The 27,847-nt window shown below is 52.5% G+C and overlaps 1 protein-coding gene across 7 annotated transcripts in view, besides 3 other annotated features; it reads left to right on the plus strand.

Moving 5' to 3' along the window:
* Window positions 1-27,847, plus strand: part of MGAT5B (alpha-1,6-mannosylglycoprotein 6-beta-N-acetylglucosaminyltransferase B) — an 81,990-nt gene that overhangs the window by 26,957 nt on the left and 27,186 nt on the right. For 6 of the 7 annotated variants that reach the window (NM_001199172.2, NM_144677.3, XM_006721707.4 and 3 more), the window contains 5 exons: window positions 7,195-7,310; window positions 7,943-8,016; window positions 8,892-9,062; window positions 9,809-9,973; window positions 10,658-10,827. In NM_001199172.2, the coding sequence (NP_001186101.1) occupies window positions 7,195-7,310; window positions 7,943-8,016; window positions 8,892-9,062; window positions 9,809-9,973; window positions 10,658-10,827 (696 nt within the window). Of the gene's footprint in view, window positions 1-7,194; window positions 7,311-7,942; window positions 8,017-8,891; window positions 9,063-9,808; window positions 9,974-10,657; window positions 10,828-17,190; window positions 18,303-27,847 lie in introns of those variants that run through there. The other variant, XM_011524354.4, reaches the window with a different exon arrangement.
* Window positions 10,125-10,736: an enhancer, noted in NCBI's record as "H3K4me1 hESC enhancer chr17:74901567-74902178 (GRCh37/hg19 assembly coordinates)". NCBI's record gives its function as "activates a minimal SCP1, AML or CMV promoter by ChIP-STARR-seq in naive H9 embryonic stem cells {active_cell/tissue: H9 hESC(naive)}" and the evidence as "EXISTENCE:reporter gene assay evidence [ECO:0000049][PMID:30033119]".
* Window positions 10,737-11,348: an enhancer, noted in NCBI's record as "H3K4me1 hESC enhancer chr17:74902179-74902790 (GRCh37/hg19 assembly coordinates)". NCBI's record gives its function as "activates a minimal SCP1, AML or CMV promoter by ChIP-STARR-seq in naive and primed H9 embryonic stem cells {active_cell/tissue: H9 hESC(naive and primed)}" and the evidence as "EXISTENCE:reporter gene assay evidence [ECO:0000049][PMID:30033119]".
* Window positions 20,725-21,224: an enhancer, noted in NCBI's record as "H3K4me1 hESC enhancer chr17:74912167-74912666 (GRCh37/hg19 assembly coordinates)". NCBI's record gives its function as "activates a minimal SCP1, AML or CMV promoter by ChIP-STARR-seq in naive H9 embryonic stem cells {active_cell/tissue: H9 hESC(naive)}" and the evidence as "EXISTENCE:reporter gene assay evidence [ECO:0000049][PMID:30033119]".

Consider the following 27,847-nt stretch of genomic DNA (forward strand, 5'->3'; position numbering starts at 1 on the left):
ATACTTGAATCATCCTGAAACCATCCCCACTGCCCCTCTCCCTGGGTCCATGGAAAAATTGTCTTCCACGAAACCAGTCCTGGGTGCTAAAAAGGTTGGGAACCACTGGATTAAACAACAGAAATTGATCGTTTCACAGTTCTGGAGGCCAGAAGTCTGAGATCAAGACGTCAGCAGGCAGTGCTAGGGAAGGATCTGTTCCAGGCCCTGCTCCTGGCCTTGACTGATGGGAGCACAATTTGAGTCTTCACATGGTGTCCTCTCTGTTTGTGAGTTTCAGACCAAATTTCCCCTTTTGATAAAAACACCAGTCATATTGGATGAGAGACCCACTTCACTCCAGTATGACCTCATATAATCACTCATGACATCTGCAGTGACCCTGTTTTCAAGTAAAGTCACATGCTTAGCTATTGGGGGATAGGGCTGCAACATACGAATTTGAAGGGGGGGCATCATTTAACCCATGGCAAAAATTATATTTTATAATATATGAAAATCACATTAAAACATTTTCTTTGATCTACAAGGGGTTTTTTTGTCCCCCGATTTTTAAAGAAATTCAAACATTTTCGAGGGCCCCTAAAAGCAGCGTGGGCCCTGGCCTGCACCTCCTGGCCCTGGTGGAGAAGTCAGCGCTGGTGCTGCCTACCCCACGGTGACAACACCAAGGCCCTGGGTTCCCCACACGGTGACAACACCAAGGCCCTGTGTTCCCCAGACCACATAGGCTGAAGGCCATTGGCCACCATCCCCCCAGTCCAGCCCCTCTTTTTCTTTTCCAACCAAGCATTTCCCAGGTCATAGATCTGTTGAGGTTTGAGGCTTTACGACATCTACTTTTGTTGTCACTTTTAGAAAAACCTCTCAGGGAGAGAAGCCTAATTGTATATGATTTGAAAATAGAAAGGGCTGTGCAAATGGTAAGTCCAGTATAATAATAGTGATGCCAAATAATTGTGTTTTGAACAAGTTGAACTTGTTAAATCAGACAGATGCCATCTGCACTATTTAAAGCCTGTGCTGGCGATGGGTTTTACACAGACATGCTTGTCGCAGGAAAATTGCTGAATCCCCCAAAAAGTAAAGTGCTTTGCTTTGTAGTCGGGCGTATGATGCTTCCTCTCAGGAATGGGATGACTGCTGTCCCTGGGGAGCAAAAGCATATCAAGCATGTATTGAGCACCTCCTGTATGCTGAGTACTTTGCATTTGGCCTCACAGCTTATCCTCACCAATAACTCCATTACTCAGATTTCACAGGAGTTAAAGCCTGTGTTCAGAGAGGTTAGGTAACTTGCCTAAGGTCACACAAATGTGAAGTGCAGCCAGGATTTGAACCCAGGACCTCTGACTTCCAGGGTTTCACTCTTTCCAATACATCTCTGGCTAATGTGGAGAGTCACTGACCCAGCGCTTGAAACTCAAGGACATCCCTTGATTTCTTTCTTTCCTGTGAGAGCGGCAGGAGAATTAAAGCTTGGCCTTCAGCAAGAGCAACGTGGTTGCTGAAAAGAACTTCTTGACAGCAGGAGCATCCAGGAGAACCTAGATTTTCTCTCTCTCTCTTTTTTTTTTAAACAAAGTCTTGTTCTGTCACCCAGGCTGGAGTGCAGCAGTGTGATCATGGCTCACTGCAGCCTGGACCTCACGGGCGCAAACGATCCTCCTGCCTCAATCTGAGTAGCTGGGACCACAGGCGCACACCACCATGCCCAGCTAATTTTTAAAATTATGTATAGAGATAGGGTATCACTCTGTTGCTCAGGCTGGTCTCGAACTCCTGGGTTCAAGTGATCCTCCTGCCTTGCCCTCCCGAAGTACTGGGACTACAGGCGTGAACCTCTGGGCCTGGTCCTGGACTCTCTTTTGCGGTGGATTAAAAACCATTTCCCCTCAGTTCTGCGGATGGTGATTATCTTAGTTTCGTAGAGTTGCCGTAAAAAATGACCACAAACCAGATGTCTTAAACCAACAGAAATTTACTCTTTCCCAGTTCTGGAGACAGAAGTCTGAAATTAGGGTGTCAGCAGGGCCGTGTTCCTTCCAAAGCTCGAGGGGAGACTCCTCCCTGCCCCTTCCTGGCTGCTCCTGGTGGATGCTGGCAGTGCCTGGCCTTCTTCGTCCCACAGATGCATCACTCCGCTCTCTGCCTGCTTCGTCACATGGTCTTTTCCCCTGGGTGTCTGCATGTGGCCTTCTTAGAAGGACCCCAGTCATTGGACTTAGGGTCAGCCTGATCCAATATGACCTCACCTGAACTAATTACATCTGCAAAGACCCTATTCCCAAGTAAGGCCACTTTCTTTCTTTCTTTCTTTCTTTCTTTCTTTCTTTCTTTCTTTCTTTCTTTCTTTCTTTCTTTCTTTTTCTTTTTTTTTTTTTTTTTTGGTTTATTAAAAAATAAGTTTATTGGCCGGGCATGGTGGCTCACGCCTGTTATCCCAGCACTTTGGGAGGCCGAGGTGGGTGGATCACGTGAGGTCAGGAGTTTGAGACCAGCCTGGCCAACATGGTGAAACCCTGTCTCTACTAAAAATACAAAAATTAGCCAGGCATGGTGGCACATGCCTGTAATCCCAGCTACTCGGGAGGCTGAGGTAGGAGAATCACTTGAACCCAGGAGGCAGAGGCTGCAGTGAGCCGGGATTGTGTCATTGCACTCCAGCCTGGGCAACGAGAGTGAAACTCTGTCTCAAAAAAAAAAAGTTTATTGAGGTATATTTTTCATAAAGTACACTAATATTAAAGTTAGAACTTGATGGAGTTTTGATGGAGTTTTACATATGGACAGATTCGCCTACCAAGATTAGGTTACATAGGATATTTCTAGCACACAAGATTTCCTGTGTTCCGTCAGCGGAAGTCATTCTTAGCCCCTAAACCTAACTTCCACCCTGACTTCTATCAGCATTACTTTTGCCTGTTCTTGAACATCATATAAATGGAGTCACAGAGTACATAATCTTTTTATTTTTTTTTTTTTTTGAGACAGAGTCTTGCTCTGTCACCAGGCTGGAGTGCAGTGACGCGATCTCGGCTCACTGCAACCTCTGCCTCCCGGGTTCAAGCGATTCTCCTGCCTCAGCCTCCTGAGTAGCTGGGATTACAGGCGCGCACCACCACACCCGGCTAATTTTTTTTTTTTGGCCAGGCTGGTCTCAAACTCCTGACCTCAGGTGATCCACCCTCCTTGGCCTCCCAAAGTGCTGGGATTACAGGCGTGAGCCACTGTGCCCGGCCCATAATCTTTTTTATTTGGCTTATCATGCTCAACATTCTGACTCTGAGATTCGTCTATGTCATTGCACATAGCAGTAGCTTAGTATTTTTTTTATGTCCATAGGTTATTGGGGTACAGGTGGTATTTGGTTACATGAGTAAGTTCTTTAGTGGTGATCTGTGAGATTTTGGTGCACACATCACCCGAGCAGTATACACTGCACCCTATGTGTAGTCTTTTATCCCTCACATAAGGCCACATTCTGAAGTTCCAGCTGGATATGAATTTTGGAGACACTCTTCAGCCTAAGTGATGGAGCCCCGAGCACAGGGCCCACGCTGGCCAGCATCTGGTTCCACACAGGAAAGCCAAGTCCCTGTCCTGGAGGACTCAGGACTCCATTCGGGGTTTCAGGCTGGCCACTCACAACCACACCCACCGTGGGTCAGGGGGTTCAGAAAGTGACCTGGCTCTTGCAAGACGGATGGAGAGGAGCCTCGCTCCAGGGAGAGGTGCCTCCAGGAAGGGCTGAAACGGGTTGAGGTCCGTTCCAAAGTCTCTAGTTGACCTGGCAGGACCCCTGGCTTGGCTTGTCTTGACATAGGTTGTTTGTGCCCTGGGGTCTCTGGTTAGAAGGTAGGACAGGCGCCCAGTTTTTCTCCATTTTGCGTGCCTCCTGTCATGATGGGAGCCTTAGAGCCCGGCTCGTCTCCAGCTCTGAGCCTGCAGCAGTGGAGGTTTCCCTGCCTCTGCACTCTGTCCTTGAAATATTCATTCCAGGCTGGGTATGGTGGCTCACACCTGTAATCCCAGCACTTTCAGAGACTGAGGCGGGAGGATCACTTGAGCCCAGGAGTTGGAGACCAGCCTGGGCAATATATTTTCTACAGAAAATTAAAAAAAAATTAGCCGGACGTGGTGGCTCATGCCTATTGTCCCAGCTACTTGGGAAACTGAAGTGGGATGATGGCTTGAGCCCGGGAGGTTGAGACTGCAGTGAGCCATGATTGCGCCACTGCACTCCAGCCTCTGTCCAGGGTGGCAGAGTGAGAGCCCTTCTCTCTCTCCCTCTCTCTCTCTGTGTATATAAAAAAATATTCATTCCTGTCAAAGGAGTGTCCATCTTGCCCCTGTAGGTCAGCATGGAAAGCAGCTCCACGGGCTTCATCTGGACTGATGTCAGAGCCTGGCAGACATCAAATCGGCATGTTTCTTCTTGGAGGGAACCCAGGCATTCTCGGTGGGAGCACATCACTGCCAAAAGGGAGAACACTGGTTCTTGAAACAATCTTAGCTGTAAGAAACCTCCTAGACGGGCAATAATGAGAAAAGGTTGATGTGCCCTGGTCTAACCCAAGTCCCTGTGGCTGCTGCTTCAACCACATCAATATCAGTGCTGATCACGAATGCAAACAGTGCTGATGTCACACAGGTGCCGCTGGCCACGCACTTTACAGCTCTCTTCATTCAGTCCTCACCATGGTAGCTGCCCTTATGTCTTAAAAGATGAGACTGGTGAGCACAGAGAGGCTCGGTGACCTGCCCAGGGTCACATAGCTCATAGGGGTCTGAGCTTCCTCTCATCTCCTTGTATCATACTGGTAATGAACCTTGATGAGTTTTGGATAGATGAAAAATACTCCTACTTCCTTCTTCCTGAGGACTTTTTGAGCAAATGAAGCAGGTAGCTTTTACGTCTCTTCTCTTTCTTTGTAATCTCACAGAAGGCTGTCGTGCATTCAACTTTGTGCTCCAAAAAGCCATGTCCAAGTCCTAGCCCCAGGACCTGTGACTATGACCTCATTTGGATATAAGCTCTTTGCAGATGTAATCAAATTAAGAGGAGGTGCTACTGGATTTGGATGGGCCCTGGTTCCATGGCTGGTGTTCTTATAAAGAGAGGAAAGTGGACACAGACACACACAGGGGAGAAGGCCGTGTGAAGGCGGAGGCAGAGGTCGGGGTGGAGCAGCCACGGGCTGAGGAACACTGAGGGCTGCTGCTACCTCTGGAAGCTGGGAGGGAGGCCTGGGGGAGGCTCCCCTAGAGTCTAAAGGCGCCGGCCCTGCTGCCACCTCGCTGTCTGATTTCCAGCCTCCAGAGCTGCCAGAGGAGAAATGGGTGTGGTTTTAAGCCACCTGGTTTGTGGAAATTATTGCAGTCACCCCAGGAAACTAACACAAAAATGGTGGCATTTTTTATTTTAAGAGTTTTATGTTTGTTTGTTTTTGTCAAAGTTTGCCTTGGGCACTGAACTAGAGTGAGAGGACAGACTGGATTGTGTGTGCATGTGTGCGTGTGTGTGCATGTGTGTGCATGTGTGTGTGTGCGTGTGTACATGTGTGCGTGCGTGTTTGTGTGTGAGTGTGTGCGTGTGCACGCCTGTGTGCATGTGTGTGTGCATGTGTGTACATGGGGGGCTTGTTCCCCATTCCTGTCATCTGCCTTTTGTCCCCTCCACTTCGGTGTCTGCTTTGCTCCCACCTGTCACCCTGACTAGTCCCCCGATGTGTATGGGGCCACTGCCCTTTCTTTCCTTAGGAAAGGTGGAGGTGGGAGAGTGTGATGGCTGTAGAGGGCGGGTGGCCATTGAGGGTTCCTGCTATGCCTTCTCTAGTGGACAGCTCACTAGGCTCAGAAGAGGAGGAGAGGTGGGGTTTGCAGACCCGAACGGAGCCCAGGTTGGAAAAATCCTTCATCGAATTCCCATTATGTGCAGCCATAAAGACCAGTACCTTGTATAGGGATAAACGGAGCTTAAACTGGGCCTGCAAAGCCACGGGGTGAGGTGAGAATCAAAGGAAACCGAATTAATGTGTTAAAAAAAAAAAAAGGCAAGCAGCTTCCTGGAGAAAGACCCCCAGGGCTATCTTTGTGTGAGAAGATCTGCCAGCTGAGGGGAATCCATCTCAATAGAAGTTTGCAATGAGATAAATACTGCATATGACGGCTAATAAATGTCCCTGAGAGCTGAGTAGTAATCAACACAGGAAATAAATCCTCCAAAAATAAAAGCAACACTGGTATCGATGGTGAGGTGGAGGGCTGTGGTGGTGGCAGTCACCTCCTTTAAGATCCTGGGAAGGATTTGTTCTCAGGAAGCCAGTGATAATTTACCGGAGTTTTAATACCTGGCAAGTTCCCAGGCTTCTGCGGGTAGAATTTATTTTGGCACAATATGGCCTCTTGGGAGGAAATAGAGACAGACTCGGAGAGGCCCGGCTGTGCCTAGGAAAAGGCCTCTGTCACCTGTGTGACCCCTGGACAGAACCTAGCCAGGCTCTTGAATGGAATTCCTCTGCCTGTTTCAGCCCCATGCACTGCCCTTCAGCACACATGCAGTAATGCACGGACATGCCTGACACGTGCAGATAGGGTCACATGTGCAGATATGGGCACACGTGCCATTGTGGGCACACATGCAGATGTGGGCACATGTACAGTTGTGGCCACACATGCAAATATGATTACATGTGCAGTTATGGGTATGTGTGCAGTTGTGGGCGCACATGCAGTTGTGGGCACGTGTGCATATGTGGGGACATGTGCAGATGTGGGCACCTGTACAGTTGTGGGCACACGTGCAGTTGTGGCCACATGAAGACATGTTCTCTGACTGCTCAGGGAAGGTGGACATGAGGCCTGGGGCCGAGGGGTGGGGGATGTCCACTAAAGGGCTCTCTGCAGATATGATCACACATGCAGTTGTGGGCACAACATGCAGTTGTGACCAACATGTGCAGATATGGGCTTTCCCGTATGTCTGTAATGTGTGTACTGGATGGGGTGGGCTGCCAGCTCCATCTTCTCACCCGATTCACTCCCCACCATTTGGTCTGCTTGGGGTCAGGGTTTGGGAGCCTGGGGCATTGCAGAGCCTGCCGCCTTTGCCTGTGGGCCTTACTGGCAGGACCCTCATGGGAAGGTCACCCCGGCCGGTTCTGTGGCTCACCTCTGGCTTTTCCCACTTAGGATGCCCCCTGGGGCCGGCCTCATGGAGCGGATCCAGGCTATTGCCCAGAACGTCTCCGACATCGCTGTGAAGGTGGACCAGATCCTGCGCCACAGTCTGCTCCTGCACAGCAAGGGTGGGTGCCAGGGGGCGGGGGTACCCTCTACCCCTAGGGGGCCAATGAACTGGGTGCTGGGTGGGCCCTGGGAGGGTGGGACACTTGGGGTGTGGCCGACTTCTCCTGACAGCAGCTCTGCTGGCTCTTCGGGGCCCCAGTTTAGGCTTTCAGCAGGACAACTGGGGGTTCACTCCCTCGACCCGGCAGGAGGGCGCTGAGGACAGAGGAGGTCCCTGGAGTCTCAGCTTCTGGGGTCCACAGTTCCAGGAGTGAGGCCACCTGGGGAAGGGTCCCTCGGCGGCCCCTCCAGTCCCTGTGATGTGGGGAGCAGCGAGCTGGGGGCTGCAAACCTCATTTCTGCCTCCTCAGAAAACGCTGGGGATGCTTTCGGGTGGGTGCATGAGGTCTGCCCATCCAGGCAGCTGCTGAGTGGCTGTTCGCACCAGCTCCTCACTGCATCTGAACCCCCTGAGGAGGCCGGGGGCAACCTAGGCCCGGGTTGACCTTGTGGGTGGGTTGTGCGGCTGATGAGCTTTAAGGTGGGAAAGCCTGGCAGCGGATTGTGTGGGAAGCTGCCTCCCGCACGCAGGCCTCCCTCCCTGGGCTCCTCCTTGGACCAGGGACTTCAGCAAGGTGACCTCTCCCTACAGTGTCAGAAGGCCGGCGGGACCAGTGTGAGGCACCCAGTGACCCCAAGTTCCCTGACTGCTCAGGGAAGGTGGAGGTGAGGCCTGGGGCTGAGGGGTGGGGATGTCTACAGCTAGGGCCTCTCTGTCTGGCCCTGGCCCCTCACCCAGGCACAAGCTGGCAGAGGCCAACCTCAGGGAAACAGCTTCTCTGCTCAGTGCATCCACCCCACCCATCAATCCAAATCCCCCAGAAAGAGTCTCCCTCAGGTGTCGGTGCTTTCTCACAGCAAATGATTAAATCTCCAAGTGTCACCGCCAGCAGCCGGATTCCCCCAGAGACTCAGAGGAGTGGCCCTGGCTGCCCTGTCCCTGCTCCTCCTGGCCCAGCCAACAGCTGGACGGAGAGTCTTCCTGCCCCATTTCTGGGGCCACCACTGGCTGCATGAAGTCTGCCCTTGTAGGAGTCGTCCACAGCCGTGAAGTCAGCTCCCCACTGGTTCTGAACGCCCTAAGGGGTGGGCGGTGGTGCCGCAGACCCCTTCCTTGGTGACCATCTGGGATCACTGCAGGTGGATCCCGCCCTGGCTCCAGCCCTGGCCGCCTTGGAGGCTGCTCCCTGACCTTGGCCTCTAGCCCAATCCTGCTCTGGTAGCAGGGAGACGGGGACCAGAGGGAGAGGGAGACAGCCAGGCCTCCTGGCTCTTTGCCCCAGACCTTTGAGCCAGTGTTCTCTCCCAGTCTCTCCTCTTTCCAGACATGAGGGCTGGTGGTCCTGCCCCTGCCATCTCTGGGGTCCTTCAGGCGGGTCCTGGTTCAATCTCTTCTCTGCCCTGTCCCCTGTTGCATCAGTAGGGTGGGCCACATGGGCCCCATCCTTGACCTCAGGACCCCTGGGGGTGCACGTGCGGGGGAGTCCCCGAGGGTCAGTGGGGCTGGCGCAGCCCCCTGCCCAGCCTGGCCCTCTCTGCAGTGGATGCGTGCCCGCTGGACCTCTGACCCCTGCTACGCCTTCTTTGGGGTGGACGGCACCGAGTGCTCCTTCCTCATCTACCTCAGTGAGGTCGAGTGGTTCTGCCCCCCGCTGCCCTGGAGGAACCAGACGGCTGCCCAGAGGGCACCCAAGCCCCTCCCCAAAGTCCAGGTGGGCCTGGGAGGTGGGTGGGCCGGTGAGGGGCTGGTGTGGCTGGACATTCTTAAGGACAGTGGACAGAAACCTCTGTCCTGAGGGAATGAGACTGAGCTGCTTGCCAGGTGTGTGGGCAGGTCCGAGCCCACCCTACCGGGCAGACGGGAGGCCAGCCTGCCAAGGCCTGTCTGCCTTCTTTGAGATGCCACCAAGCTGGGCCTGTTTGCAGGGCAGGTGGGGGGCCTGGAGATGCCCCCTTAGTGGACTAGAATAGTAGTAATAGCAGCTGTCACTTATTGAGGGTTTTCTGTGTCCAGATGCTTTATTTGCACTTAAAGTTCCCAGCCATCCTTGTATGATCGTATTTGACAGACGATGCATCTGAGGTTTACAATTGAATTAATGGGTTCGAGGCGCATAGTTGCTGTGGTGGCCACGTCTGTCCCCTGCCATCGGAGTCCTGGCTATGACCACCACCCTCACTGCCTCCCTGTCATGGCTGGGAACCTGGAAACTGCTATGGTTGGCCACCTCCGTGGAAGGGCTAGGGGCCCATGGTTAGAGCTGGGCTGGGGAGGGTGTGTTGACAGGGCGGGCAGGGCTCCCTGGTTTTGGGGGCTAATGAGCCCCTTAGAAAGTGCAGGAGAAGCTGGAGCAGGCCCCAGCCTCATGGGAGGGTGCCAGCCCCTGTCCCCAGGCCAGCGGGGAATGATGGTGGCCGCAGGTTGAGGGGCAGAGAGCTGAGGTCTGGACCCCTCCAGGCAGTTTTCCGAAGCAACCTGTCCCACCTTCTGGACCTGATGGGCAGCGGGAAGGAGTCCCTGATCTTCATGAAGAAGCGGACCAAGAGGCTCACAGCCCAGTGGGCGCTGGCTGCCCAGCGCCTGGCACAGAAGCTGGGGGCCACCCAGAGGGACCAGAAGCAGGTGCGTGGCCCCTGCCCCCTCATGTGCAGGAGCTGAGAAAGCTCAGGGCCCCCACTTCTGAGTGGGCATGGAATAGGTCTTCAAACAAGCTGTAGTGGGCTTCTGAATTTGATCAGAGGGAGAGAGGGGTAGGGATGGCAGAGTCGGGATAGATGTCTGTGGTGGTGGCCCCTGGCCCTTTTCAAGGTTGGGACCAAATGACAAGCCCCCAAGAGGTCCTGCATTCTGTGTACATCTGGTTCATGTCAGGCAGAAAAGTCATGGTATTGGCCTGGAAAGTTGGGAATGTTCTGGGGAGCTTCGTTAGCTCATGCCTCCATTCTTCCTTCCCTCCTTCCTTCCCTCCCTCCCTCCCTCCACCCAGTAGATATTTACGTGGCTCTCACATTGCCCTTTTATTTCTTTCAGAGCCCTTATCATTTCATGAAATTATCTCTTGTCTGTGTTCACTGTTGTCTACCTCTTCCATCTGGAACATTAGCTCCATGAGGGCAAGCACGTGACTATCTTGTTCGCCCGTGTCCCCAGTGCCCGATCTGGTCACTCTGGTGCCGGAAAGCACCTGCTGGGGCCCAGCCTGGAGACAGGGTCTGCTGCCGGCTGGTCTCCTGGCCGGTGCCCCGGGGGGGCGGGGCTCAGAGCTGCTGCTCCTCTCTGCTGACCCTCTGTGTTCCGCCCACCCAGATCCTGGTCCACATCGGCTTCCTGACGGAGGAGTCCGGGGACGTGTTCAGCCCTCGGGTCCTGAAGGGCGGGCCCCTAGGGGAGATGGTGCAGTGGGCGGACATTCTGACTGCACTCTATGTCCTGGGCCATGGCCTGCGGGTCACAGTCTCCCTGAAGGAGCTGCAGAGGTGAGTGCTGGGGAAAGCCACTGGCATTAAGTGGGGCAGGGAGGGGATGAAGGGGAACCCCACCCCTCCCTCCCAGGGGCTGTGGGAGCACCTGCTCTGCCTGCAGGTCCCACGGCCCTGAGACCCTGGGAGACATCCTGGTGTTCCGCAGGACATCACCACTCCTAATCCCCCTCCTCCTGCCCGGTCTTGGGGGATGTGGCAGGGAAGTGTATTTGCATAGCGCTGTCTGGCCAGGGCCTGGCTCCTTCTCTGGTGTTTCTGCTCAGGGGCTGACACGTGTTGGCTTGTGGAATTGAGCCACGTCTGCACGTGGGGTCCCCTCTGCCTGCCGTCCTGGAAGGCTTGGTTTCTCTTCTGAACCTGGGCTCCTTCTTGGGTCTACTTTAGGGTCTGGAGACCAGTAAGACATGGAGGATGAAGGGGCGTGGTTGGGTGGGTGGTGCCTGTCCCTTACCCAGTGCTGGGCTTTTCACGGTCCCTTGGATGCTGTGGGAGGTGGAAGGGCAGTGATTAGAGGCTCCCCTGAGTGTTTGAGGGTAGGATGGGGGTGAGGCTGAGAGTGTGGGGATGTCAAGGGGGTAAGAGTGTGTGATTGGGTTTATTTTTAATCACTGTTTCTGTGGGATGTAGGAATACAGGAGATTCTTCTCTTTATTAATATTTATTGTAAGATATATGATGCATACAAAGTCTATGTAAAGTATGTTGTGAAACACAACAGTCAAATCACCTCCCATGTGTGACCATCCATTTAAGATCATGCTGTCACCAAGGACTCTGGGTTTGCCTGAGAGTGTCTGCCAATCTCTCTGCCTCCTCCCCAGATGAAACCTTAACTTGAACTTTGTGTATATTATTCCTTTGCTTTTTTTTTTTTTTTAATGGAGTTTCTCTCTTGTTCCCCAGGCTGGAGTGCAGTGGCGTGACCTTGGCTCACTGCAGCCTCCGCCTCCCGGGTTCAAGCGATTCTCCTGCCTCAGCTCCTGAGTAGCTGGGATTACAGGCCCACGCCGCCACGCCAGGCTAATTTTTGTGTTTTTAGTAGAGATGGGGTTTCAGCATGTTGCCCAGGCTGGTCTTGAGCTCCCAACCTCTGGTGATCCACCCGCCTCGGCCTCCCAAAGTGTTGGGATTACAGGCATGAGCCACCGCACCCAGCCTGCTTTTGTAAAAAAAGTTTTTTGTTTTTTCTTAATAGTGTATCCATAAACAGTTTATGGTTTGCTTTTGTTTTGTTCTGGTTTCAAGCTTTGAGAAAATGGCATCTACTCTATGTGGTCTCCTAACTTGCTTTCTTCAAACTCACTCTGTTTCAAAGACTCATCCATCCATGTTCTTGCATGTAGCTTTATTTCATTCATTTTCACTGCTATATAATATTCCATTGTGTGAATGTGCCATAATTATGTATCAGTTTTTCCTGTCTGCGGATATTTTTTCCTGTTTTTGAAATGGTTTTGAACGTTGCCGTGGTGGACATTCTTGGACATGTCACCTGATGTACTTGTGTAAGTTTTTCTGGGTATAGACTTAGATGCAGAATTGTTAGATCTTGGCATGGTGAAAATTCAGCTTTACAAGATAATGCCGAATTGTCTTCCAAAGTGATTGCTCCAATTCAGAGACTCACCAGTGCATGAGTTTCCGCTGGTTCACATTCTCACCTACACTTAGGGTTGTCAGACATTCTGATTGAGGCATGATGATGTCTTATTATGGCTGCAACTTGCATTTCCTGAAAGATAATGGGCTGAGCATCCTGTCCTGTGGTTCTTTCGTCTTGATGAGATGCCCATTGATATGGGCATCATATGATAAGGGTTATCATTTTCATATTGAGTTGTAAGAGCTCTTTATATATTAAGGATATAAATTCTGTGGAAGTTACATGTGTTAAAAAAGTCTTCTAATTTGTGGCTTGCCTTTTTAATTTCTTTATGGTTTTTTGGGGAGTAACAGAAATTCTTAATTTTAATGTAATAAAAGTTATCCATCTTTTTCTTTATAGTTAGCAATTTTGTGTTTTGTGGAGTTCTCTGTTCTCTCTTTTCTTTCTTTTTTTCCTTTCTTTCTCTTTCTTTCTTCTTTTTTTTTTTTTTTTTCAGATAGGGCCTCGCTCTGTTGCCCAGGCTGGAGTGCAGTGGCACAATCATGGCTCACAGCAGCCTTCCCCTCAAGCAACCCTCCCACCTCAGCCTCCTGAGTAGCTGGGATTACAGGTGTACGCTACTACGCCTGGCTAATTTCTGTATTTTTAGTGGAGACAGGGTTTCACTATGTTGCCTAGGCTGGTCTTGAACTCCTAGGCTCAAGAAATTCGCCTACCTCAGCCTCCCAAAGTGCTGGGATTACAGGCATGAGCCACCGTGCTTGGCTTTATTCCTCCTTTTCATTGACTTAAAAATGTTTCTATTGATACATAATATGTGTACATATTTATGGGGATGGGTGATATTTTGCTACATGCATCCAATGTGTAATGATCAAGTCAGGGTACTGGGGATCTATCATCTTGAGTATTTATTATTTTTATGTGTTGGGAACATTTTAAGTCCACTCTTCAAGCTATTTTGAAATCTACAATACATTGTTGTTAAGTATAGTCTCCCTACTCTGCTATCTTTTTTTTTTTTTGAGATGGAGTCTCACTCTGTCACCCAGGCTGGAGTGCAGTGGTGCGATCTCGGCTCACTGCAACCTCTGCCTCCCGGGTTCAAGCAATTCTCCTGCCTCAGCCTCCCGAGTAGCTGGGATTACAGGCGGGTGCCACCGTGCCCAGCTAATTTTTGTATTTTTAGTAGAGACAGGATTTCACCATATTGGTCATGCTGGTCTCGAACTCCTGACCTCAGGTGATCCACCTGCTTTGGCCTCCCAAAGTGCTGGAATTATAGGCATGAGCCACTGCGCCCAGCCTCTGCTATATATATATTTTAAATCTTATTTATTTTAAAATAGAGATGGGTTTCCGCCATGTTGCCCAGGCTGGTCTCAAACTCGTGGGCTCAAGTCATCTGCCTGCCTCAGCCTCCCAAAGTGCTGGGATTACAGGCATGAGCCATGTGCCCGGCCTACTCTGCTATCTAACGTAGAACTTATTCCTTCTATCTATCTATATGTTTGTACCCATTAACCAAACCAACCTCTCTTTATCCCTCCTCCCCACCACATTTGATGAGATTATTCCTCAGGGCCTTCCTTCAGGGCCCCAGAACTGTTTGCATGTGAATCAGCTTTTCTTCATTAACTTCTACACAGGTGGTTTCCTTGTGAGTCCCCACCAGAGCCTGCCTACTCTCTTGCTGGTCTGATTGGCCTTCTCTCCACTAATGCTAATGCTCTGTAGCACAGGAGTGTTGGAGAGCAGAGGATGCTGATGAGGACAGAGCCATGGCAATCTTAGGTCACTAGGGCCCAGCAAGCACCAGTCTTGGGCAGCTACTCAGTTTCTGCCTTTCTTCGCTGCAACTCAGAGTCTGCCAGTAACTCAGGTAGAACGTCTGTGACTCCGATCAGAGGGAGGAGTCTGGGCCAGCTGTATTGAGTAGTGGGAGAAGGAGGCTGGGTCTGGATTGTGTTGCTTAGGAGGCCACTAAATGACCCAGGGCTTTGAAGGTTTTCATCCCCGTGGCCTGAAATTCACAGCACTGGAGTCATCCTTTTAAGTGAATGCATTCGATGATTAGGCTTAGTAAAGAAAAAGTGTCTCCAGAGAGGAACAGCACGTGTAAGTGAGGCTATGGGGCAGAGGCAGGTTGGTGCCAGAGACTAAAGAGGCAGCTACACGCCTGTGGCTGTGTTGAGAAGCACTGTCCAAGTCGGGGGCGGGCTCTGGGGGAGGAAATTCTCACCTTGAAATAGCAGGTCCAGGAGCTGCAAGGAACCCGGCTGGGAGCTGTCCCCGAGTGCTAGTGCTGAACCCACAGATACTCCCAATGCTGGGAGAGGGAAACAGCACGTCCCTCACTCTGGCTCTCACCCTGGTGACATCTTGTTGTCAGATCCAGCTGTTCGCACTGTGCAGGCCACTTAAGAGACAAGGTGTGGGGCCCACTCGCCCGCCTGCACCCACTGCTGCACACTAAACTGTCTGCCACCGGCTCCCTCTGAACAGAGAGCCTGGAATATGCATCGATGCTGTCTGTGGAGCAGAACGCTGCAGAGGCAGTTAACATTTGCAGATTATGAAAAGAGGTGTATACACTCATGCAGCCTCCACATGCACCCATGCATACACGTGCATATCCACCACATGTGTGCACATACATGCATACTCACCCACTCACATGCACACTCATGGACACATACTCATAGCCTCTGCACCCACACATGCACACCCACTCACACACTTGAATATGCACACACTCCACATACACATGTGCAAATGCATGCTCCTGCATGTGCAGACATGATGCATCTATACAGACACACATGCACACTCTCTTGCACACACATGCATGTCCACACCCCACAGAGAATCAGTGTTTTCTACCAAGCAAGGCTCCACTTCCTCTCAAGCTCTTGCAGATCTAAAGGTGCTCCAGGGAGAGGTTGCCCCATCTCTGGTTTGCAGTTTGTTAAATGGGCAGGCCCAGGGCTGTGCTCCGATGCCCTGGCCCTTGGTCCCCTGTGGGGTGTATGTGTGAATGAACGATCTGGCTCAGACAGGGCAGAATGGTGTAAACAGCTCAGCTACCTCAGGGGATCTTAGGAAGGTGATTTCTAAATCTGCTACCAAATACAATTTAAAAACAACTAAAAGAATAAAAATAAAAGCAAAACCACCCTCCCCAGGAGAATTCCCCAGTTATGCCTACAAAAGTAACAGCATCAGCTATGGTTGGAATACATTCAGGGTGGGGGTTCTTAACCCTGGCTGCAGCAAAACCACCTGAAGCACTTTAGAAACTTACCAGTGTTTGGGCCCCTGTCTAGGCATCTCTGACTTCTTCCATCTGGGGTGGGGGCCCAGGTAACAAATTGAAGCTCCCAGTGATTCTAATGGGCACCAAAGGTTGGGAATTGGAAAAGCTTGAGGCTGTGGCTTTTCTAAGCCCCTCAGCCCAGTACACAGTCTGGCGGTGGGGTTGGGACATTGTAGAATGCATGGCTTCTTCAGAAGGCCTTGTCTGTGTCCCCAGTGCAGTCCTGGGGGATGGGATTGAGGCCCCAGGCTCAGGGCCCTAGAAAAGATGTAGAAAGAATGGGAGGATTCATCCTGAGAGCACCCAGGATACCCTTGGTTGCTAGAGTGTGGCTTAGTGGGGGGTTGGGCCACAGAGGCACCCTGTGGAGGTGGCCCAGATGGTGGGGCGTCTGGCATCATGCCCAGGGCATCACGTGGGAACCTGCTGGCCTGGAATGCACTTTGTGCCACACACTTTCTTGGATGTACTTTCTTCCTTCTTCCTTTCTAAAGTGGGGGCATTGCATTGGTCCCCATAGTTGGCGGGGTCAGTGACAGATGTGAGGCCAGGGTGGAGGCAGAACTGTGAGCTCCCAGGCACATTCCCTGCTGGGGCCTCTCTGATACATAAATGCAGGCCTTTCCTCACAGTGGAGATGTCAATACAGTTTGAGATGTGGATGAGCCTCCTAGAGCTGCCATAACAATGGAGTGCACACTGCAGGGCTTACACAGCAGGAATGAATGAACAGCAGGAATGCATGAACTGAATCCTGGCGCTGGAGCGTGCTGCAAGTCCAAGAGCCAGGTTTTGGCAGGGCAGGGCTGGGGCCTCCTGAGGCTGCAAGGGAGTCTCTGCCTCAGGCCTCTCTCTGGGTTCCTGGTGGTTTCCTAGTGAGGAACTTGGTGACCCTTGTCCTGCAGCTACATCTCTACAATCATCTCTGCCTTTGCCTGGTGGCCTCCCTGTGAGCGTGTCTGTGTCCAGATTTCCCCTCCCTATAAGGACCTATTGGATTAGGGCCCACCCTAATGCCCTCACGTTAACTCCATTACCTCTGTAAGGACCCCAACTCCAAATAAGGTCATAGCCTGAAGAACTGGGGGTTAGGACTTCAATATGTCAATGTTGGGGGTGGAGGACACAATGTAAACCCATAATAAGATGGCAACCACTGGGGGGCCCTGGGCAGAGTTCCCAGCGAGCAACCGCGAGCCCTTCAGGGAGAGGCAGAAGCACCCAGGGCCTCACCTCTCAGCCCTGGGAGCCGTTCTGTGGGAGCAGCACCAGGTTAATTTGAAAACAGGTCAATGGGATGTGAAGGTAATCTGAATTCTGAGTGTCTCAGCTTGGTTTCTGCGACAGAAATGTCTCCCTTGGCTGGCGAAATGACCTGCGTGGGAGGCGGTGGGACAAAGACGCGGCTTGTACATTTGTTGTAGTTTATTCGCAGATGTTCACGGCAGATGTCCTGGCCACTGATGGAGCAACAAGGCTGGACGGATGAGCCGGTCCCGCTCTGCTCCTCGGGTCTCGGTGTTTCAATTAACTGGCTCACTGGAGTGACGTTTGGGGCAATGTGCAGGATCTACATCTGGCTTTGCTGCTGCAAGATGCTTCCGGGGTGAGGGAGGTGGCACGAGGGAGCCGTGCGCTCTGTGATGAGACTGCAGCAAGGTGATGTCAGCCAGTCCCCGCCCGCGCCCCGCCGTGTGCGGAGGGAAGAAGCCAAACCCTAGTGCCTGCCCAGCCGCTGCATCCTGAGACGGCCTCGTGCATGTGCAGGTCCAGGGTGGGCGTTTTAAAGTTAAGCCTTTCCCTTCCTGCTTTCCTAGCATCAGCTGTGCTCATCAATTTTATTTGCACAATTTCAAGCATCATTAATAGTACATGGCATGAGAAAACATTACTGAGCTCTTTCTCCATCCATGAGTGAAATTGGGTTTAGTAGAAAATTAGTTGACTTAACTGGCAAATGATGAAAGCTTGAGAGGAGAATGTTTAAGTAAGGAGGACTAGGAGGGACAACTCCTGGCTGTCAAGCATGCAGCCAGGCTGGAAATCTGCCTCCTGCCTGGGGCCAGGTGCCCAAAGGAAAGGCTGGGGAGGATCCCCAGAGAATGACGAAGGTGGGGACTCCATCTGCTTCCTCCCGCACAATCCACTGTGACCAGCTGAGGCAGGTCTTAGGTTTGGAACCCAGAGATCAGTTCTGGATATGACTGGCACAGACTGATCTGAACCAATGCAAACTGGGCCCAGCTGCTGGAAACCAGCTTGAGCTGACCAGAACCAGGCTGACCTGGGCAGCTCAAACCAGCTCCAGGGCGGAGGATGCTGCTCTTCTCTGAGGGGAGAGGAGAAAAGCACTGGGTCTAGGGCACACATGTTGAAACAGAGGTGCCCCATGGAGGCCACTGGGTGACGGGCCCAGGGGAGGTGTGGCATGGAGACAGGGTCTTGGCCGTTGACAGTGGTTGAACACAGTGTGGTTGAAATTGTCAAAGGATGGGAAAACAGGCTTGAGGGGCACAGACTTGGGAAATATCAACACAGAAAGGCCTCTTACAGGCAAAGGAGACTGAGGAGTAGCCAAGAGCAAGCCAGATGTGGAGTCATGGGTGCCTGTGAGAAGATGCTTCTAGAAGGAGATGTGGCCAGCAACACATTGCTCATTGAAAAGCCAAGTAAGAAGGAGACTGAAAAATGTCCAAAGAATTTGGTCACATGAGGCTGGGTGGGGCGGCTCACTCCTGTAATCCCAGCACTTTGGGAGGTCACGGCGGGAGGATTGCTTGATTCCAGGAGTTGGAGACCAGCCTGGGCAAGATAGTGAGACCTGGTCTTTACCAAAAACAAAAAAATTAGCCAAGTGCGCCTGTGGTCCCAGCTACTCAGGCGACTGAGGAAGGAGGATCACTTGAGCCTGGGAAGTCGAGGCTACAGTCAGCCGTGATCATGCTACTGCACTCTAGCTTGGGTGACAAAGCAAGACTGTCTCAAAAAAAAAAGAGAAGAAGAAGAAGAAAGAAAGAAGGAAAGAAGGAAGGAAGGAGAGAGAGAAAGAAAGAGAATTTGGCCACAAAGATGTCATTGCTGACTTTGGAAAGAGCATTGTGGTGCAGTCGTGGGGACAAAGGTCCTAAACCCAGTGGGCTGTGGGAGTGTGGAAGGCGGGATGGGGAGGACACAGCAGTCGTGAGTGTCTGCACTCCTCCAAGGAGCTTGGCCAGGAGCCGGGAGGAGAAAGAGCGCAGGAGCAGGGGTTACAGAATCGCAGGCAGGTGTGTTTGCCTCCTGGGGGTGACCAGTCAAAAGACCACATGCTGGGGGGTGTAAACCACACAAATGTGTCCTCTTACAGTCCTGAAGGCTGGAAGTCTGAAATCAAGACTCCCTCTGAAGGCACTAGGGAAGCGTCAGTCCCAGCCTCTCCCCTGTCTTCTGGTAGCCGCAGGTGTTCTTAGAGGGGTAGATGGTGTTCTCCCTACGTCCACATCTCTTCCTCCCTCCATGCATGACTCTGTGTCCACATTTCTTCTTCCTCTTTTTTTTTTTTTGAGACAGAGTCTTGCCCTGTCCCCCAGCTGGAGCGCAGTGGCGCAGTCTCGGCTCACTGCATCCTCCACCTCCGGGTTCAAGTGATTCTCCTGCCTCAGCCTCCCGAGTAGCTGGGACTACAGGAATGTGCCACCATGCCCAGCTAATTTTTGTATTTTTAGTAGAGACAGGGTTTCACCATGTGGGCCAGGCTGGTCTCAAACTCCTGACCTCAGGTGTTCCACCCACCTCGGCCTCCCAAAGTGCTGGGATTACAGGCGTGAGCCACTGCCCCCGGCCACGTTTCTTCTTTTTATAAGGACACCAGTCAACTTGGATTAGGGTCTACCCTAATGCCTTCATCTTAACTTGATTACCTCTGCAAAGACCCTTTTTCCAAACAAAGTCACATTCACAGGTACGGGGATTAGGACTTCACCCTCCTTCAGCGGCCACAGTTCAGCCCACGATCAAAGGTGTGCTTGTTTATTTTTCGAGATAAGAGAGTGCACTCATGTTTAAATGTGGCTGCAAAGGAGCCAGAACAGTAGGGAGGTTGTGGACATAGGAGGGAGAGAGTATTGCTGGCAGTGGCTTCAGGGGAGGGTCCCAGGAGGAGGGACAGGGACAGCTCTTCTGCCCTGAGAGGAGAGAAGGAGAAGAGACCAGGGTATACTGTAAATGCAGCGGGGTGGGGGGCCTGGGCTGGGGGCCGGGGATCGGGCACTCCTCTCTGACGGTTTCTATTTTATCTTCGATGCCGGAGGGGAGAGCATTTCCCACAAGCCAGGTGGAGGCAGCGGGAGACGCGAGGAAGTGGACAAGACCGAAAAACAACCCTCGGGCTCTACCAGGGTTTGTAATATGCTATCCCTCGAAACAAACAGGATTCGAACCAAATATGGCAAAATGTTAAGGCTTGATGAGGCTGGGAAGTGGGCGCATTGGAGCATTATATGATTTTCTATAATTTTCTGGATGCTTGGAATATTTTGTAACTTATAAGCACACAGATTAGGAAAAGGTGGGGAAGAACCGCATCTTGGCACCTAGACTTGTGAATGGCAGCTCTCCTGCATCACCCTCCCCGTTCCAAGAGGAGGCACGAGAGGCCGACGATTACAATTCACTAAAAATCCCCGGCCCCTCTCCTGTCTCCTTTTTCCTTCCCCTTCCTTCAGTTTCAAGGAGGCATTTTAACCTCCTGGCTGAGCGGGGAGCGAGCGCAGGAGCACACATCCCAGCGGAGAGGCCTGGCAGCCAGACACCTGACCCAAGTTGGCTGGCGGTCAGAACCCTTCCCCAGGAAATTCAGACTTGGGTAGGCAGAAGACCTACCTAGACTGCGGGTAAGGGGACAGAGAGGGAGCAGGCGCCGGCATGCCGAGTGTGGCGGGGTCACGTTGAGTGCCGCCAAATGTCGTGGGCCTCTGCTGCTGGGGCCTGGGGCTGCCCTGGCCCCTGCCCTTCATCCTTCCTCGGGATCCAGGAGAGACCCTTCCTTGCAAGGCCTCGTCTCCCCTTATGCTCCACATAGCTGCACTGCCCTGGCCCCTGCCCTTCATTCTTCCTCGGGATCCAGGAGAGACCCTTCCTTGCAAGGGCCTCGCCTCCCCTCATGCTCCACGCGCTGCGCTGGCGTCACAGGGAGTCTGTTTCTTGCAAGTCAAGGCCCCCCGGCCAAGTCTGAACATTGACCAATAAGCAAGACCGATGGAGGCCGTGCCGTGTCGCCTTTCCCAGCTCTGGCCTGGCCTGTGTTGGGGAGGGCTGCAAGGGAAGACTCATGGAAATGACGTCGCTGGCCCTCATGAGAGATCCATGCACCCCAGGTGGAGTGGGGAGAACTTGGGGAGATCAGATAAGAAATGAGGACAGACCAGGCCCTCGGCTCATACCCGTAACCCCAGCACTTTGGGAGGCTGGGATTACAGGCAGATCCCTTGAGTCTAGGAGTTCAAGACCAACCTGAGCAAGGAAACCTCATCTCTACAAGAAAAAACTCAGAAAGAAATGAGGAGAAGGGCTGGCTTCTGGATGCTCCTGACGGAGGCAGGATTCATCCCTGGGGAGGAGGCATCAGGGCCTCTGTGAATCTCAGGGGTCGTGGGTTCTCGAGAAGGGATGAGGGGACCAGTGTTCTTCCTCTGCCAAGGACAGACCAAGAGAGCGTCTTGTCAGATGGTGGCTGGAGAGGAGGAAGGTGGCAGTGGACGAGCTTCAGGAACCATCTGTCAGGGAGACTGGAAGGAGCCACCCACGGGAAGGGTCAAACTCAGGGGTTCCCGCCTCTTAGAAACTGGGGCCAGGGCTGGTCTGGGGCTTTTTATTCTGGGTGAAGCCGGCAGAAGCACAGGGTGGTACGAATAACCCCCTAGCACTCTTCCCGACTACGCTGTCAGGTTTGAGTCAGCCTAGTTGTGCTAAGTCCAACGCCAGGTGGGAGGTTTCACTGTGACTCAGTGGCCAATTAAATGCTCTCAAGTCCGGGTTTAGTGTGAGGATTTTGCACACCAACCATCACTGCAAATATATTCAGCACACACAGGCCAGTGGCTCGGGATACGAGTGCGCTGACTGATGAGCCAGGCAGGTCCGAATGTTCCTCGAAGTCAGTTTCTTTGCTGTGTCTCCGGCCTCTGCAGGGCCGTCCATAGTCATTTCTCAGCTGCCCCTGGCTTCACTTTCTTGTTGGGTCTCGGGGGTGCCTTCCCACAGCAGGTATCTCGTCACCCCAGTCCAGCATACATTTATCACTTTGAAGGATCAGCAGTTTGACCGTGGGCTGAGTCACTTGTCATAAGTGACTCCATTTTGAGATTATTTAGGATCACAAAACACTATCCTATATCACCACCTGCCCCTCAAGTCAGAGTAGCTTTGGTAAAAGGAATGCATTTTCCTGCAAGCCAGACTGCTTTTTCCTCGGCATCTCTAGCGTGGAGCCAGCGGCCCTCAATATCCGAATCCAGGATGCAGGGGCTGCGTCTTAGCTTTTGGCCCTCATCTCCCACTGAGACTGCTCGAGTGGGATTGACAGCGGAGTCTTACCCCAAGGTCCCTGCACAGGTTGGTTCTCAGCAAAGGTTGGTGGAACCGGATAGAATAGCAAGAGCCCCTGGCACACAGGAGTCACCCGAGGAGCTGAAAATAATCCCCGACGCCCAGGCCCCAGCCCGGAGCAAATAGAGGGACCCTCGGGGTGGCCTGAGCACCAGGAGCTAAAGCCTGGATGAGAAAACCTGGGTTCGGGCTCAGCATTTACAGGCATTTATTCTAGAAATTGAGGCCTGTCTGTAAGGAAGAGGACTGGGAACGACCGGAGGGCCGAGTTCCCGTTCCTCTTCCTGCAGCCGTGCTGGCAGCCAGCGGGGTGAGTGTGTGGTCTCCTCCAGCTCTCCTGGGAGCATGGCCCTATTCTTAGCACTGAGTTTGCTTGCTAGGAAAGAACGCTGGGGAAGAAAGTGCCAGCTTTGGACGCCAGCCCCACTTTGGGTCTGCAGTGTTGAGGATACGCTGCTCCCTCAGTTTCCCTTTCGGAGGCTCCCCCCCAACAACTGCACGCCTTGTACCGCACCCCCACCCCCGCACCCATGCTTTGTGGTAGCTTCGGCTAAAGAGCACCCAGACTGTGCCTCCATCTGCCTTTGGACTCCCTTTTCCTCTGAGCCAGGGACCCTGAGGGGGCCTGGCAGTTCTCAGCTGTAGCCCTGAACCCTCGAGGGCACAGGGTACATGCTGGGGATGCTCAAGGGCATCGCCTTTTCAGGAGATGGGAGCTGAGGGCAGGGCCATCCCAGTGACTGCGTAAAGCAACTCTGGGCTGCTTCTGTTGGGTACAGGGAGGTCAGTCCATCCTGGGCAGGAAGAAAATGCTGCAGGACGGTGTAATTCTTTCCTCATTAGTGATCCTAACCCCTGCTTCCTAAAGCAGCTCATTAGATGTCCAGTTCAACCTCTGAGTTTCTTCTTTCTGCCCCCATCTGGTCTGTCAGGGACCAGACAGTGGCCTGTTGTGGTAATGGGCCATGGCAGGGTTGGGGGCTGCCCATGATACTTGGGAAACGGGCACTGGTCAGGTTTGGAGGATTTCAGGGCCCTGGGGAGACAGAACGTCCCAGGCTGCCCCAGCTGTGTGTTCCCCTTGAGAGGCACCCAGTGAAGTTGTGGATCCTGCCTGCACTTCAGCCCCTGGAGTCAAAGATCTCTGACTACTTTGCAAGGATTCTTTTTAATTAGGTCCCTCCCACACAAGAGAAAGAGAGAGAGAATAGTGTGTTCCACAATTTGAGCACTACCTGGAGAGATTATTTCTAGCCACAGACCAAAGGCACAGAGAGAAATAAAACCAGGGAATTTTTAGCTTAGAAGAGACCGTGGAGATTTGCCTGAGCACGTGTCCCACATGTGGAGGCGGACACCAGAGCGATGTGGTGGCTCGTGGAAGGCTACCCAGCAAATGCCTGCTGGAGCTCCTGCCCAGGGATATTTTTCATTGCCAGAATTCAGCATTTGAATTCCTAGCCGAGGGTTTCTTCTATTAAGTGAAGGTTTATTTTTCTCCTCCCTCATCCCATCTCCCCATCCTCCTCTTTGATATTTTAGCAAAGAGTGCCTGAGCCAGTCCTTCCCTGGATATTTACAGAGCCCCTATATTGTTTATGGCCAGCTGGGAGTCCCAGGCAGGTGGGGAACGTGACAGCTGGAGAAGATGGGACCTCAGCCCCTCTGGGAGGCAGAGTGCTTGGCACGGGAGCCAGGAATGTGAATGGGTTGACTTAAAAATTATTTTTAAATTATTCGTATTTTTAAGACCGGGTCTCACTCTGTTGCCCAGGCTAGAGTGCAACGGTGTGATCACAGCTCATTGCAGCCTTAACATCCCAGGTTCAAACGATTCTCCCACCTCAGCCTCCTGAGTAGCTGGAATGACAGGTGCATGCCACCATGCCCGGCTAATTTTTTGTATTTTTGGTAGAGATGGGGTTTCGCCATGTCATCCAGGCTGGTCTCAAACTGCTGGACTCAAGCGATCCTCCCACCTAGGCCACCTAAAGTGCTGGGATTATAGGCGTGAGCCGCTGTGCCGGGCTGGCTTTTTACAAACTTGTAGTAAGATGCACATAACATAAAATGTGCTGCTGTAACCACTTTGAAGTGCACAGTTCAGTGGCAAAGCACACTCGCATTGTGGTGCAACCATCGCCACCATCCATCTCCAGATTTCTTCTTGCAAAACTGAAACTCCATACCCATTAAACAATAATTTCCTATTCCTTCCTGCCCCGAGAGGGTAGCTTTTCCGGGTGGATTAATTTGGGCACAGTGCAGGGGCCAACTCTAACCAGGTGACCTGCGGAAATGCTCCATTCCCCTGGACCACCCTACCCCTACCCCTTTCCTCTTGGGATTTAGACTCCTATTCATCTGGCCTGGGGACACTCAGAAATATATTCTAACCAGCCAGTTTGGCAATTCCACACAAACTTCCCCGTCCTTCCCAAGCACTGGCTGTTGGCAGTGGGCAGATGGAGGGGTATGCAGCAGATGCATTTCAAGTTCCTTCTGCCCCTGAGGTCCTCCCCCCACCACCCTCCTATCTGTGGGGGCTGCTGAACCGTCCTCTTGACCCAGCCCTTGACTGAGAGTACAAGAGAAATGAGGACTTGGCCTTGGAGGTGCAGAAAGGTCTGGACGGGAGTGTTTTGAGTTTTCAGCAGGATTGGTGGAAATGCACAGCCGAGCCTCCCGGGCACCTTTGGTTGAAGGTTGTCGGGGGACGGCATTTTCAATTCATGTCACTGCTCCAGCCAATCACTTAGCGTAAAATTGCCCATGAAAGTAAACTTAAATTACAAGTGATAAAACTACAGCCTCCTCTCCCAGCAGCTGACCTCTCTGCTCTCCAGGGGGTGAGGCTCAGATTTCTTCTGATAAGAGCAATGAGGCCGCTGCAGACACCTCCAGGGACGTCCTGCCCTTCCATTGAAAATCCTTGTTTTCCAGGGCTGGGGACATGTGGGCTTCTCCTTAACTCCTCCTGGGAAGGGGATGCTGCTGTCTCCGGGCCGATTTGTCTCCCTCCTCTCCCGTGATGTCCTTTGAGCACGTGGAAGGCCACTGGGCTCAGGTCCAGACCCAAAGGCCAGTGAGTGACCAAGGCACCTTCACCCCTGGGCCCCTCACTCACCCATACTCTCTCTCCAGAGAGGCTTTTCTTGGCCAACTATTAAACATTGAAACCAGTTCTTCTCATCTACCACTTTGTGTATAGCTTCATAAATACAGCAGATGTTTAGTGGGTCAGGTCCTGTCCCTGGTCCTGAATGTTAAAGATGACCTGACCCTGCCCTCCTCAAAGGGGCCTCCAGGTGGGAAGAGGTGACTTGGGACATTGACCAGGTGTGTCCCAGGTATGGAGGGAGCATAGCGGGAGGGGTGTCTCAGGTAAGGCTTCCTGGAGGAGGAGGCAATATTTGAGTTAAGCACGTGGAGGTGAGAAGAGTCTTCTAGACCCAGGGAACAGTTTCTGTGAAAACAGGGCACCGTCGCAGGAGAACCTTGGTAGGATCAGAGGGGAGGGTTTGGCCGGGACCACCTTGAAATTTCTGCGGCACCTGGCCTCACGTGTGACAGGTACAGGAAGTGTCCGGTCTCACTTATCTTAGTCGCACACTGGTGACAGCTGCTGTCTTATTGTAGATTCCTTCTCCCCCATCCGTTAATATTCCTCCCTTTCTTCTGGTTTAGTCAAGACTTTGACTTCACACTGAGCAGGGTGTGCATGGGGGAAGCGATTGCTCAGCAGGGGGCCCCTTTTCCTGCCCGGCTCTGGATCTGGGTGCCAAGGTTTAGGGCTGATACTTCATGGGGTGAGGCCTGACTGCCCAAGCGGGTCCTGCATCAGGTGGGGCTCAGCGGGGGTCCACCTTCCACCCACTTCCCTGCTCCCTCCATGCACACCCAGTGGGCCTGTGCTGGAGAGGCTGCTGCAGATCCTGGGGGGCGCAGGGTGTGGTGCAGGGGCTGCAGCTGTTGCTTCCACAGGGGTTAGGTGGGGAAGCATCCTCGAAGTCCTGGCTCAGAGGCAGTGGGAAGCCTCGGAAAGGGTCAGAACCCCTGGGAGATGTGATCAAGTTTCCATTGTATAAAGACTCTGATCCCAGCTCTGCTCCTTCCTGGCTGTGTAACCTTGGGTAAGTTACTCAGCCTCTCTGTTTCCTAATCTGTAAAGATGGGAACAGGATGAGAATGGGTCTGATCTGGTAGGGTAGTTGCTAAGATGAAAGGAGCTGATGAATCAGTAAGTTGAAAGCACATGGAATGATGCTTGTGTCCAAAACGTTAGCCTTGAAGATGGCGAGGATGATGGACTCACCTTAGAACCGCAGCGTGGTGGTCTCCCAGGAGAGGGCTGTGACGTGCTACAACCCCTCTGTCCTCTCAGTGGCCCTGGTGTCTGGGACTAGGGTCAGAGGTGTGCTCAGTGATGGGGCAGCAAAAGGAAGCTCCCAGGACAGAGAGATAACATGTTGCCTGGAAACCAACCAGAGATCTGTAGGGAAGCCAGTCATGTTCCTGGTGCAGGTAGCAGCTCCTAGACCCACCTACGGTTTGTATTTTCAGGATTGTCTTAATTTTACTAGACCCAGATTCCATGTGGGAGGAGCAGCCACCCCCTTCCTGGTTTCTGCAAGGAAGGATACAGAGGGAGTGTCTTTGTGTCCTTTTGTGTGTGGTTCTCAGTTGGGTTGGGGAGGTGAGGAAGAGGGGACTTCTGGAGCCCCAGGGCAAACAAATGAAGCTTCTTTCTGGGCCATCAGTTTTACTGGAGGAGTTTTGGGAGTGAGAAAGTCCATGCTTCACAGGAAACAACAGGGATGTCTTGCAGAGTGAATGCAGAATTTGTTCAACACTTAAACCTACCACCAAATATTTCATGAAGTCTCCAGGTTGTGGGAGTTGTTCCCTGTGATGGCTCCAGACCCCTGGGGTCTGTGCTTCTTCTCCTTTGTTTTCTGGGTATTTCAGCCAAAAAGCTGAAGAGGCAGGCACTGCCTTAGAAGCCCTGGATCAGAGAATCCCGTGTGGCAGGTGGTCTGTGTTGGAAGGAGGGGAAGACAGGAAGGTTGGAGGGATGGAGGAGCCCTTGGCCATTTTTAAGTTTATAGACAAGAAATGAGGAGGAAATGGTGATTAGGTTTTCACATTCCCCTCTCACACTTAGCAGCAAAGGTTCTGACATGGCGGGGAAGCCAGTGTGGGGACAGCTCAGGAGGCTGGTGGGGGTACTAGCTGGAGGTGGGGGGCAAGGCCCAGAGAAAGCGCCTCCCCTCTTGCTGCCCTTCTCTGCAGGGCGAGGCTGACCTCTGATGGCTTAGTCCCTGTGCTGGCAGCTTCTCTCCACCTCTTTCCATCACAGCGCTGTCGGCAGGTGACCAGAAACATCATCGACACGGCACCACTTTGGACGGTGTGCTAACGGGATGGTGCGCACAGTCCCCTCCCCGAGCTTCTGAGCATGCGCAAAGCGAGCATGCACCTTTCAGGCCGGTACTTTTCCACCTGGC

This window comes from Homo sapiens, chromosome 17 (genome assembly GCF_000001405.40).
Source record: "Homo sapiens chromosome 17, GRCh38.p14 Primary Assembly".
Taxonomy (NCBI): Eukaryota; Metazoa; Chordata; class Mammalia; order Primates; family Hominidae; genus Homo; species Homo sapiens.